Source organism: Homo sapiens, chromosome 22, assembly GCF_000001405.40.
Source record: "Homo sapiens chromosome 22, GRCh38.p14 Primary Assembly".
NCBI lineage: Eukaryota > Metazoa > Chordata > Mammalia > Primates > Hominidae > Homo > Homo sapiens.
The window spans coordinates 38999717-39013313 of NC_000022.11; the positions used below are offsets into that span (position 1 = coordinate 38999717).

Genomic DNA, 13597 nt, shown 5'->3' on the forward strand with positions numbered 1-13597 from the left:
GACTCAGGACGTGGAAGACTCAGGACGTCCACATGGAAAGGATGCCAGGGCCAAGGCCGAGAGGTGCTGGGGAGGGCTCCCCACCTGCCCCACACACCATGGCCTCAGCCCCTGTGACGGAAGCTGACTATCTCCCCCTCACCGCAGTGTTTAGCCCTGCTGGGAAGACTGTTCAGACCACCAGGGAAAGCCCTATGAGACCTGGTCCTGCCTGGAGACGGATGGACGCCACCAGCCTGTCCTGGGTCACAGCTGTCCCCAGGGCTCTTCTCTCCCTCTGTACCTTGGCGGGCCCCATCCTCTCTCCATTTCCTCCATGATAGCCACTTTCCAGATTTCTAATGCAATACGTTAGTTTAGCTTTTTCTGCACTTGCTCTAAACACCAGCACATAGTACACAATCTTCTGTGTGTGGCTCTTGTCACTCAACCCTATGTTTGCAAGGTTCACCCATTCTGTTTATCACGGTTGCAGGTCAATTCCTATTGCTGTCCACTATCCCACCCGTGAATACCCGGCACTCACTTTGCCAGTTCTGTTGTTGATGGGCATTTGGCTTTGGGTGTGATGACTGTGGCAGAGTGGAGGAAGACACGAGGGGAGCGAGGGGGCCGGGGGCCGCTGGGACCCGGCTTCACCAGGACCATGTTCTCTCTGCAGAACATTGTTCATTTATCTACTCAGTCTCTTTGATCTTTTCCAATCTGGTATGAGAATGGGCTACTGTATAGTATTTCAATGGTTACTAGGGGGAGATTAAACTGATGTCTTTGTTGTTTTAAACTGTTTTGTTTGTTTGTTTGTTAGTGGTGGTTTTCTTTTTCTTTTTTTTTTTCTTTTCTTTCTTTTTCTTTTTTTTTTTTGAGATGGAGCCTTGCTCTGTCACCCAGGGTCGAGTGCAGTGGCGTGATCTCGGCTCACTGTAAGCTCCACCTCCCAGGTTCAAGCAATTCCCCTGCCTCAGCCTCCCGAGTAGCTGGGACTACAGGCAACCACCACTACGCCTGGCTAATTTTTGTATTTTTAGTAGAGGTGGGGTTTCACCATGTTGGCCAGGCTGCTGTCGAACTCCCAACCTCATGATCTGCCTGCCTTGGCCTCCCCAAGTGTTGGGATTACAGGCATGAGCCACCACGCCTGGTCTGTTTTAAACTGTTTTTTTTTTTTTTTTTTTTTTTTTTCCCAAGACAAAGTCTTGCTGTGTCGCCCAGGCTGGAGTGTAGTGGCACGATCTCGGCTTACTGCAAGCTCCGCCTCCTTGGTTCACACCATTCTCCTGCCTCAGCCTCCCAAGTAGCTGAGACTACAGGCGCCCGCCACCACACCTGGCTAATTTTTTGTATTTTTAGTAGAGACGGGGTTTCACTGTGTTAGCCAGGATGATCTCGATCTCCTGATCTCGTGATCCACCCGCCTCGGCCTCCCAAAGTGCTGGGATTACAGGCATGAGCCACCGCGCCCGGCCACAAAGTGTTTTTAAGGAAATTTCTATCCACTCTTACTCCCTTTCATCCCGTAACACGTAGCTCTACTAGCCTGCTATTGGGCTTTCCTGCTAATGAACAAAGTTCCATAGCCTCATTCTAAAAATTGTGCACATCTTTGTATATACGAAATACTATAAGATAAAGATGAAGATGTCCCCTCTCCCCTGCAGCAACTGAGGGGGGAGATCTTGCTTTTATAGAACGAGTTCAATGAATCTGAACGTAAGAGTAAAGTCTGGCCGGGCATGGTGGCTCATGCCTGTAACCCCAGCACTTTGGGAGGCCGAGGTGGGCAGATCACCTGAGGTCAGGAGTTAGCAGAGAGCAGAGAGCAGCCTGGCCAACGTGGTGAAACCCCGTCTCTACTAAAAATACAAAAATTAGCCAGACGCGGTGGCGTGCGCCTGTAATCCCAGCTACTCGGGTGGCTGAGGCATGAGAATTGCTTGATCCTGGGGGGCGGAGGTTGCAGTGAGCCGAGATCGTGCCACTGCACTCCAGCCTGGGCAACAGGGCGAGGCTCCGTCTCAAAAAAAAAAAAAGAAAAGAGTCAAGTCTGATATTGACAGAGCATCAGTCCTGATTTTATGTGCTATTGGATACTGGTAGGAACGCTTGTCACTGTTACCAAGCAGCACAAGGGGAGCAGTGTGAGTGGCAACTCTGCAGCCGGCTGCCTGGGTTTCATCCTGCTTCTGCCACTTACTGGATTGTGGCATTTAGCAAGTTACTTAGCACCTCTGTGCTTCAGTCTGTCATATGAAATGGAGATGATAATACAACTTCTTCATTGTGGGTTGTGAGGCTTAAACGAGTTTGTTCATATTCATATTATAGCTACATATATTATAAAGAGCACCTGGCCCATAGTGAGCCATTTAGAATATTGGTTTGTTATCTATCACCAGAAATCTGTCCCTGAAAACAGAGTGTTAAAAATCATCTTGATGGTCGGGCACAGTGGCTGATGCCTGTAATCCCGCACTTTGGGAGGGCGAGGCGGGTGGATCACCTAAGGTCAGGAGTTTGAGACCAGCCAGACCAATATAGTGGAACCCTGTCTCTACTAAAAATATGGAAATTAGCCAGGCGTGGTGGGGTGTGCCTGTAGTCCCAGCTACTTGGGAGGCTGAGGCAGGAGAGTTGCTTGAACCCGGGAGGTGGAGGTTGCAGTGAGCTGAGATTGCGCCACTGCACTCCAGCCTGGGCGACAGTGAGATTCCATCTCAAAAAAAAAAAAAAAATCATCTTGCAGGCAAGGTGCAGTGGCTCACATATGTAATCCCAGCACTTTGGGAGGCTGAGGTAGGTGGATCGCTTAAGCCTAAGAGTTGAAGACCAGCCTGGGCAACATAGTAAAACCCTGTCTCTACAAAAAATACAAAAATTATCTGGATGTGGAGGCGTGCACCTGCAGTCCCAACTACTTGGGAGGCTGAGACAAGAGGATCACCTGAACCTGGGGAGGTCAAGATTGCAGTGAGCTGTGATTGAGCCACTGCACTCCAGCCTGTGTGACAGGGCAAGACTGTATCTCAAAAAAAAAAAAAAAAAAGAAAAAGAAAAAAAATCATCTTGCAAAAGTTGTATAAGACCCATACACAGAAAACTACAAAACTCTACTAAGAACTAAGAGAAAGTTTTTAAAAACACCTAAATCAATGGTGAGATATACCATGTTTTGGGATTGAAAGACTTAATATTAAGAGGTTAAATCGGCCAGGTGCGGTTGTGCATGCCTGTAATCTCAGCACTTTGGGAGGCTGAGGTGGACAGATCACTTGAGATCAAGAGTTTGAGACCAACCTGGCCAACATGGTGAAACCCGGTCTCTACTAAAAATACAAAAAATTAGCCAGGCGTGGTAGCGTGCACCTGTAATCCTAGCTACTCAGGAGGCTGAAGCAGTAGAATTGCTTAAACCTGAGGTTGCAGTGAGCAGAGATCCAGCCACTGCACTTCAGCCTGGGTGACAGAGCAAGACTCCATCTCAAAAAAAAAAAAAAAAGTTTACAGATTTGATGCAATCCTAATCAAATTCTCAGGGTTTGGGGTCAGCTCTTCTGCCCCCTTGCGGAAGCTCTGTAATGTGTGCACTAAGTCAGGATGCCCTCCCTTCCCAGCGGTCAGATTTCAGGGCTAGCCACAGAGACCGCCCTGGCAAGTCTGCTGGGAGGAAGTGAGGCAGCAGCCCTTTTCTGGCATGCTCACATCTCCTTGGCGTGAAGCAGCACCTGGGCCTGCAGCTGCCAGGAGCAGTCCTAGATGGTCCCTGAGTGTCTCTGATCCTGAGCCAAGTGTGTGTCTTTAGCTCCTTGAGGAAGGTCCCCAGTAGGACACAATTAAAGTCAGAGGCAAGAACGATGACATGGGTTCTGTCTCTCCTCGTACGCTCCACAGCTCAGACCTGTGGGTTCCAGCTGGCTCTTGCTCTCCCACACCTAGCATCCCTCATCCCTTTCTGATGGCCCCTTGAACCACCCCGCCGCAGACTTCAAGCTCCAACATCACAGGCAGTGAAGACAACATTTTATGGGGGTTGCTTAACCAGCCCCTGCAACTGGATAAGGTCAGATTCAGATTTTTTAAAATTCGTAAACAAAATATATACATCTTAGTGGTTCTGTTTATTGGCTGAACCCCAACTAATACACCCCTAAAAAGCATTACCGTGGCAGGGTACAGTGGCTCATGCCTGTAATTCAAGCATTTTAAGAGGCAAAGTTGGGGCCGGGTGCAGTGGCTCACGCCTGTAATCCCAGCACTTTGGGAGGCTGAGGCAGGCGGATCACAAGGTCAGGAGATCGAGACCATCCTGGCTAACACAGTGAAACCCCATCTCTACTAAAAAAAAAAAAAAAGAATACAAATTTGGCCGGGCGTGGCGGTGGGCGCCTGTAGTCCCAGCTACTTGGGAGGCTGAGGCAGGAGAATGGCGTGAACCCGGGAAGGGGAGCTTGCAGTGAGCTGAGATTGTGCCACTGCACTCCAGCCTGGGCAACAGAGCGAGACTCCATCTCAAAAAAAAAAAAAAAGAGGCAAAGCTGGGAGGATTACTTGAGCTGGGGAGTTTGAGGTTGCAGTGAGCCATCACTGCACTCCAGCCTGGGCAACAGAATAAGATCCTGTCTCTAAAAAATTAAAAAATTAAATTTAATTAATTAAAAATTTAAAAATTAAAAAAATGTTTAAAAAGCATTATTCTCTGCTGGGTTCGGTGGCTCACACCTGTAATCCCAGCACTCTGGGAGGCCAAGATGGGCATATCACTTGAGGTCAGGAGTTGGAGACCAGCCTGGCCAACATGGTGAATCTCCGTCTCTACTAAAAATACAAAGATTAGCCGGGCGTGGTGGCAGCTGCCTCTAATCCCAGCTACTCGGGAGGCTGAGACAGGAGAATCGCTTGAGCCCAGGAGTGGGAGGTTGCAGTGAGCCGAGATCGTGCCATTGCACTCCAGCCTGGGTGACAACAATGAAACTCTGTCTCAAAAAAAAAAAAAAAGAAAAAAGCATTATTCTCCTACATCTCTCCAAAATTACTTAAAATATTTTAAGGGACAAATGGATATCGATTTCCAATGAGTTCAGGGTAGGCTGTGCTGCTAGACACGGTGGTGTCCGTATTTGAGCTCGATTCCCGTTCTTGCTAGGGTAGCACGTTATCGCTCCTAAATCATTCACGCGTTAAAGACAAAATCATAGTGTGAATTAGGCACACTTAGAACTCAATGATCTTTTTTTCTTTTTTTTGAGGCGGAGTCTCGCTCTGTTGCCCAGGCTGAAGTGCAGTGGCACGATCTCGGCTCACTGCAACCTCCGCCTCCTGGATTCAAGCAATTCTCCTGCCTCAGCCTCCAGAGTAGTGCTCTAGCAAATTAACTGAACCCAAAGAATGGGTCATGGGAACCTCAACTTGAAGCCTGTTGGTCAGACACTCCAGATGTCTGAGCTTTCTACTGGTGTCTAAAGCAGGGGCAGTTTTGGGGACTGGGCCCTCAACCTGTGAGATCTGACACCATCTCAAGGCAATGTTGGATGTGACTGAGAGGACACCTGGCTGGTGCCTGCTGAAGAATGGATTGCTTGTTTGTTGGTGGGAAGAAATCCCCCACATTTGGTCACAGAAGTCTTCTGTGTTGACTGTTGTTGTGTTGGTGCGAGAGCAGAGGAAAAACACGGCTTGAGTTTGTGTGTTTTTCTACACACTCAGTTTCCCAAGCCCTCTTAATTCCCAGCCGTTGCTTGTTGCCTGTTGCTGGGGTCTCCCGGCCAAAGCTGAATGCCTCTTCACAAGACCTTGTCGTGAGTCTTTCTGTGGTGTATCTGTCTGACCCTCACCCATCTGAAGCTTTCTGTAGGATGTTAGGTACATAATCTCTCTTTGACCATGGTTTTAACTCCCGGCCACCAATTCCAGGGCAGATGGAAAAGTCGTGCTTGGCCTTCTAGCACACTTACATAAATATTCCATAAAAGTAAGAATCACCAAAACTGACACAAAATGGAGAAAAATCACTCAGTTAGGTCGATCATCAATGAGGACACTGAAAAGGTAACCAATCCTCACCTAACCTCAGGCCTTGATGGTTTTACTGGCAATTTCTACCAAATTGTCAATGAACAGATCATTCCACATTACAGAGACTATTCCAGAGAAAAGAAAATGATGGGAAGCTTCCCAAATCATGACCGAGGTTTATCACAACCCTGATGCTACAACTGGGCAAAAATAGAAAACAATTTTTTAAAAACTATAATTCATGAGTAATTTCAGTCAATGAGACACAGCAGCCCAGGAACTGAAGAGTCCCTGACTAAAAAGGCATTAAATCTGGCCGGGTGCGGTGGCTCATGCCTGTAATCCCAGCACTTTGGGAGGCTGAGGCAGGCATATCACCTGAGGTCAGGAGTTCAAGACCAGCCTGGCCAACATGGTGAAACACTCCTCTCTACTAAAGATACAAAAATTGGCCGAGCGCGGTGTCTCATGCCTGTAATCCCAGCACTTTGGGAGGCCGAGGTCGGCAGATCACCTGAAGTCAGGAGTTCGAGACCAGCCTGGCCAACATGGTGAAACCTCATGTCAACTAAAGATACAAAAAATTAGCTGGGTGTGGTGGCATGTGCCTGTAATCCCAGCTACTAGGGAGGCTGGGGCAGGAGAATCTGTTAAACCTGGGAGGTGGAGGTTGCAGTGAGCCGAGATCACACCATTGCACTCCAGCCTGGGTGACAGGGCGAGACTCCATCTCAAAAAACAAAAACAAAAACAAAAAACAAAAATTAGCCAGGTGTGTTGGCACGCACCTGTAATCCCAGCTACTCAGGAGGTTGAGGCAGGAGAATCACTTGAACCCAGGAGGCAGAGGTTGCAGTGAGCTGAGATCGTGCCACTGAACTGCAGCCTGGGTGATGGAGCGAGACTCAGTCTCAAGAAAAAAAAAAAAAACAGAAAGGTATTTAATCTGCAGGCCCCAGAGCTGATGGCTTCCCGGAGCTGGGCAGGTCCACACTCCCTCAGCCTCAGGACCAAGTGTCCGTGTGCGTGAGTGACAAGGGGCCTCAGAAGCTACACGTGGGAGTCCTGAGACTTCCGCTCTGTGCTGTTACACACGTTGTCCCACCTGTCCTGTATCTTTTCTTAAAGCCAAGGAAATGCATACTGGGTGAAGCCTATCACGTCTCTTTTGATAGTCAATCCAAATCACAAGCCACTACTACTTGTCAAACAGAATGATATTGCAACTATATCAATAGATTAAAGGAGAAAAACCACATGACCATCTCAATCATAAAAAACAGAAAGCATATGCTATTAAAATAGCATCTTAGGACCAGGCACTAATCCCAGCATTTTGCCTGTAATCCCAGCATTTTGGGAGGCTAAGGCAGGTGGATTACTTGAGGTCAGGAGTTAATGACCAGCCTGGCCAACATGGTGAAACTCCATCTCTACTAAAAATATAAAAATTGGCCAGGTGTGAAGGTGAACACCTGTAATCCCAGCTACTCAGGAGGCTGAGGCAGGAGAATCGCTAGAATCCGGGAGGCAGAGGTTGCACTGAGCCGAGATCGTGCCAATGCACTCCAGCCTAGGCAACAGAGCAAGACTCCATCTCTAAGATAAATAAAATAAATAAAATAAAATAAAATAAAATAAAATATAAAATAAAATAAAAAATAAAATAAGTGAAATGAAATGAAATAAAACAAAATAGCGCCTTAGAAGATGCAAAGGTAGCTTAGAAGCTATCTTAAGAGCTTGAAGCATGCTGCCATGCCAAAGAAAGCATTCCCAGTTCAACAAAAGTCTTAGCAAGCTTTCTTCATCTCATAAAAGGTTTCTAGATAAAAGGTTAGTCTACTACAAGTATCTACTAGATGGTGAAATCAAAGTCAAGAGAAAAGGCTGGCTCCTGAAACCCCAATCCAGCATTGGGCTAGAGGTTTCTGCCAACAGAAAAATGGGCAAATGATATGCACAGGCAATTTATAGAAGAAATGAAATAAGCAATAAAATATGCAAAATTGAACAGCCTTATTAATATACAAGTAAACACTAGTGGGAATATCAACTGGGAATCTCACTTTGGAGAGTGTGGCAGACACTAAAGGCAGGCTCACCCAAATGAATAAAAATAAAATGTAATGCAAATAGTAACCAAAAGAGAGCAGCAGTGGCTACACTAATATCAGATAAGAGATTTTTTTTAACCAGGTGTAGTGGCTCACGCCTGTAATCCCAGCACTTTGGGAGGCCGAGGTGAGCCGATGACCTGAGGTCAGGAGTTCAAGACCAGCCTGACCAACATGGTGAAACCCCGTCTCTACTAAAAATACAAAATTAGCTGGGCGTTGTGGCGCATGCCTGTAATTCCAGCTACTTGGAAGGCTGAGGCAGGAGAATCGCTTGAACCGAGGAGGTGGAGGTTGCAGTGAGCCAGGATCTCACCATTGCACTCCAGCCTGGCCAACAGAGCGAGACTCTGTATCAAAAAAAAAAAAAATTTACACACTTAATAACAGACCATCAAAATGTATGAAGCAAAAATGAACAGAATTGAGGGAGAATTAGAGTTCTACAATAATTGGAGACTTCAATACCCAATGCTCAATAATGGACAGAACAACCAGATAGAAAAAAAAGGAAGGAAATAGAGAACTCAACACAATAAGCCAACTAGGTCTAACAGACATATACGGAACACTTCACCTAATAACAGCAGACAGCTGCTGTGGAAAACAGCATGGCAGTTCCTCAAAAAATTAAAAATAGAATGGCCAGATGATCCAGCAATTCCACTGCCGGGTGTACACTCAAAAAAATTGAAAGCAGAGTCTCAAGGAGGTATTTGTACACCCATGGAAGCAACCCAAGTTTTCATTAACACATGAATGGAGAGGCCAGATGTGGTCTACACATACAATGGAATATTACTCAGCCTTGAAAAGGAAGGAAATTCTGACCCACGCTACAACATGGATGAACCTTGAGGATATTTTGCTGAGTAAAATAAGCCAATCACATAAAGAGAAATACTGAATGATTCCATTTATATGACGCACTTAGAATATTCCCAATGGCCAGCCCGGCGCAGTGGCTCACGCCTGTAATCCCAGCAGTTTGGGAGGCCCAGGTGAGCGGATCACCTGAGGTCAGGAGTTTTTTTTTTTTGAGACAAGCTGTGTCACCCAGGCAGGAGTGCAGTGGTGTGATCTCAGTTCACTGCACCCTCTGCCTCCCCGGCTGAAGGAATTCTCCTGCCTCAGTCTCCCTAGTTGCTGGGATTATAGGGGCCTGCCACCATGCCTGGTGTTTTGTTGTTGTTGTTGACCGAGTCTTGCTCTGTTGCCCAGGCTGGAGTGCAGTGGTGTGATCTCGGCTTATTGCAACCTCTGCCTCCTGGGTTCCAGTGATTCTTCTGCCTCAGCCTCCTGAGTAGCTGAGACTACAAGCGCACACCACCACCCCCAGCTATTTTGTGTGTGTGTTTTTAGTAGAGATGGGGTTTCACCATGTTGGCCAGGATGGTCTCGATCTCCTGACCTTGTGATTCGCCCACCTCGGCCTCCCAAAGAGCTGGGATTACAGGCGTGAACTACCATGCCCGGCCAAGTAGTTTCTTATAAAACTAAACGTGTACTTAATATACAATCCAGCAATTGCACTATTGGGCATTTATTCCAGAGAAATGAAAACTTATGCTCACATTTAAAAAACAAAAACAAAAACAAAAACAAAAACCTGTGTTCATAGCATCTTTGTTCACGATAGCCAAAAACCACAACCAGTCTAAACGTCCAGTGGGCGAATGGTTCAACCTGCTTTGGTACATCCATGCAATGAGTCGTGCCCTGCAATGAAAACGAACAACCTATGGAAACCAGCAACAATTCAGATGAACCTCAAGGGTATTATGCTGAGTGAAAAACGTCAGTGACGAATGATTCCGTATATACATTCCACATATAATCATATACTGATGATTCTATATATATCAAAAGAAATCATATTAAAAGATCCCATATATATATTCTAGATATATATTTCATATAATCATATACTAAAGATCCCATATATATAAAACCTTCTTTTTAATATTTATTTTTATTATTTTATTTTGTTATTTTGAGATGATGTTTCATTCTTGTTGCCCAGGCTTGAGTGCAATGGCGCGATCTTGGCTCACCACAACCTCTGTCTCCCGGGTTCAAGTGATTCTCCTGCCTCGGCCTCCCGAGTAGCTGGGATTACATGGTGGCATGCACCACCACACCTGGCTAATTTTGTATTCTTTTTTAGTAGAGACGGGGTTTCTCCATGTTGGTCAGGATGGTCTCTAACTCCTGACCTTAGGAGATCCCCTTGCCTCAGCCTCCCAAAGTGCTGGGATTACAGGCGTGAGCCACCACACATGGCTTATTTTTTAAATTTTTTCAGATGGAGTCTCACTCTGTGGCCCAGGCTGGAGTACAGTGGTGAGATCTCCGCTCACTGCAACGTCCACTTCCCAGGTTCCAGCTATTCTCCTGCTTCAGCCTTCCAGGTAGGTGGGACTACAGGTGCATGCCACCATGCCTGGCTAATTTTGTAATTTTTTTTTTTTTTAGTCATGACGGGGTTTCACCATGTTGGTCAGGCTGGTCTTGATCTCCTGACCTCAGGTGATCTGCCCGCCTCAGCCTCCCAAAGTGCTGGTATTATAGGTATGAGCCACGGCAATCAGCCATATATATACCTTTTGCAAATAAAATTACACAGGTGGAAAACGTTTTTCTTTTTCTTTTTTTTTTGAGACAGGGTCTCACTCTGTCGCCCAGGCTGGTGTGCGGTGATGCAATCATGGCTCAAGTGATCCTCCCCCATCAACCTCCCTAGTAGCTGGAATTACAGGTGCACACCACATCTGGCTAATTTTGTTTTTGTTTTTGTTTTTGTAGACACGGGGTTTCACCATGTTGCCCAGGCTGATCTCGAACTCCTGACCTCAAGTCATCCGTCCGCCTCGGCCTCCCACAGTGCTGGGATTACTGGTGTGAACCACCACACCCGGCCCGAAAAGGTTTTCAAAATAATAAAATGGGCTGGGCAAGTGGCTCATGCCTGCAATTAGAGGCCTGGAGACATTAAGTAAACCACCCAAGGTCACACAGTAAGGAAGGGGCAGAACTCAGAGTCTCCTGGCTGCAAAGCTGGTGTCCCTTCCCCACTGTGCCTTAACTGCCGCCTTACAGCTGGGTTGGAGGATGCCTCCCTGGTCTAGGGTCATTATTACATTTTCTTCTAAGAAGTGTGTTTCTGATCAACGGAACTGATTATTTTCCATCTATGGTCTTACCCTTTGCCCCCATCTCTTTCTTATGGCAACAGAAAATTTCACCTTCAAGAGGAGCGCCTCGGCCCGGCCGAAGTACCGTCTGGGAAGTGAGGAGCGCCTCGGCCCGGCCGAAGTACCGTCTGGGAAGTGAGGAGCACCTCTGGACGGCCACGGAGCAACCCTCCAGGTGTGAAGTGGCAGCCCTGTGTGTGATCTTTCTGCCCTCCCCGAGTTTTCATTTTCGATAGTAAAATTTACTTGTAAACTAAAAGATTTATATTGGGGAAGATGAAAGGAAGGAAGGAAGGAAACTTCACTTTCCAAAAACAACCACTGGGAGTCCGCTTTGTGCAGCGATAGGTAAGCTTCTGTGCAGGAACGGGCGCTGCTGCACCCCCTACCACCCACGCAGCCTCCTCCCTATCTGCCTTCAGGTGGTAGCCAGAGGAGTTCAGAGCCTCTACAGAGAGCACAACTTCTCCAGCTGGAACTGAAGGGGGCCTGCCCCTCCACACCGGCGGGTATTTCTCGAAAGGTGGAGATGAGAGACTGAGAAAAGAAATAAGACACAGAGACAAAGTATACAGGAAGAAAAGTGGGCCCAGGGGACCGGCGCTCAGCATATGGAGGACCCGCATGGGCACTGGTCTCTGAGTTCCCTCAGTATTTATTGATCACTATCTCTACCATCTCAGCGAGGGGGATGTGGCAGGACTATAGGGTAATGGTGAGGAGAGGGTCAGCAGGAAAACATGAGAGCAAAGGACTTTGTGTCATAAATAAGTTTAAGGAAAGGTGCCGTGCCTGGATGTGCACGTAGGCCAGATTTATGTTTGACTTTATACAAACATCTCAGTGCAGTAAAGAGCAGTATTGCCGCCAGCATGTCTCACCTCCAGCCATAAGGCGGTCTTCTCCTATGTCAGTAAATAGAATGTATGATCGGGTTTTACACCAAGACATTCCATTCCCAGGGATGAGCAGGAGACAGATGCCTTCCTCCTATCTCAACTGCAAAGAGGCTTTCCTCCTTCACCAATCCTCCTCAGCACAGACCCTTTACGGGTGTCGGGCTGGGGGACGGTCAGGTCTTTCCCTTCCCATGAGGCCATATCTCAGGCTGTCTCAGTGGGGGGAAACCTGGACAATACCCAGGCTTTCTTGGGCAGAGGTCCCTGCGGCCTTCCGCAGTGCACTGTGTCTCTGGGTACTCGAGACTGGAGAATGGCGATGACTTTTACCAAGCTTATTGCCTGCAAACACATTTTTACCAAGGCACATCCTGCACAGCCCTAAATCCATTAAACCTTGAGTCAATATAGCACATGTTTCTGCGAGCACAGGGTTGGGGCTAGGGTTACAGATTCACAGCATCTCAAGGCAGAAGAGTTTTTCTTAGTACAGATCACAATGGAGTTTCTTATGTCTTCCTCTTTCTACATAGACACAATAACAGTCTCATCTCTCTTTCTTTCCCCCACAAGAACAAACTCCCCTTAAAGGAATCTATTTAGGAAGATTATTTCAAGGATACAATGTACATTCATTCCTCCAAAATATGCTTAGATGAACTTAAATAATCAGAAAGTTGTGTGTGTATGTGTTTCACATTTTCTTGGTCCACACGGAACCCCTTGAGAGGTCCCTGTGGGCCGTGAGCCTGTTTGTAGACACTTGCTTCCACCGCTTGATGTCGCAGACATCGCAGTCCCTGATGTAGGGTCTGGCCCTATGGGGCTTAGTGGGTGTTCTCCCCGTGTGTGGAGATGAGAAATCGTAAAAAGTAAAGACACAAGACAAAGAGATAAAGCGAAAACAGCTGGGCCCGGGGGACCACTACCATCAAGACACGGAGATGGGTAGTGGCCCCAAATGGTTGCGTGCACTGTTATTTATTGCATACAAGACAAGGGGGGCAGGGTAAGGAGGGTGAGTCGTCCAAGTGATTGATAAGGTCGAGCAAGTCACGTGATCATAGGACAGGGGGCCCTTCCCTTATAGGTAGCCGAAGCAGAGAGGGAAGGCAGTATACGTCAGCGTTTTCTTCTATGCACCTATCAGAAAGATCAAAGACTTTAAGACTTTCACTATTTCTTCTACCGCTATCTTCTGAGAACTTCAAAGAGGGACCAGGAGTACAGGAGGAAAGTGGACAAGGAGCGTGACCATTGAAGCACAGCATCACAGGGAGGGGTTTAGGCCTCCGGATGGCTGCAGGCAGGCCTGGATACTATCCAGCCTCCCACAAGAAGCTGGTGGAGCTGAGCGTTCCCTGACTCCTCCAAGAAA

General features: G+C 47.2%; 1 annotated feature.

Moving 5' to 3' along the window:
* Positions 10922-11423: an enhancer, noted in NCBI's record as "H3K4me1 hESC enhancer chr22:39406643-39407144 (GRCh37/hg19 assembly coordinates)". NCBI's record gives its function as "activates a minimal SCP1, AML or CMV promoter by ChIP-STARR-seq in naive H9 embryonic stem cells {active_cell/tissue: H9 hESC(naive)}" and the evidence as "EXISTENCE:reporter gene assay evidence [ECO:0000049][PMID:30033119]".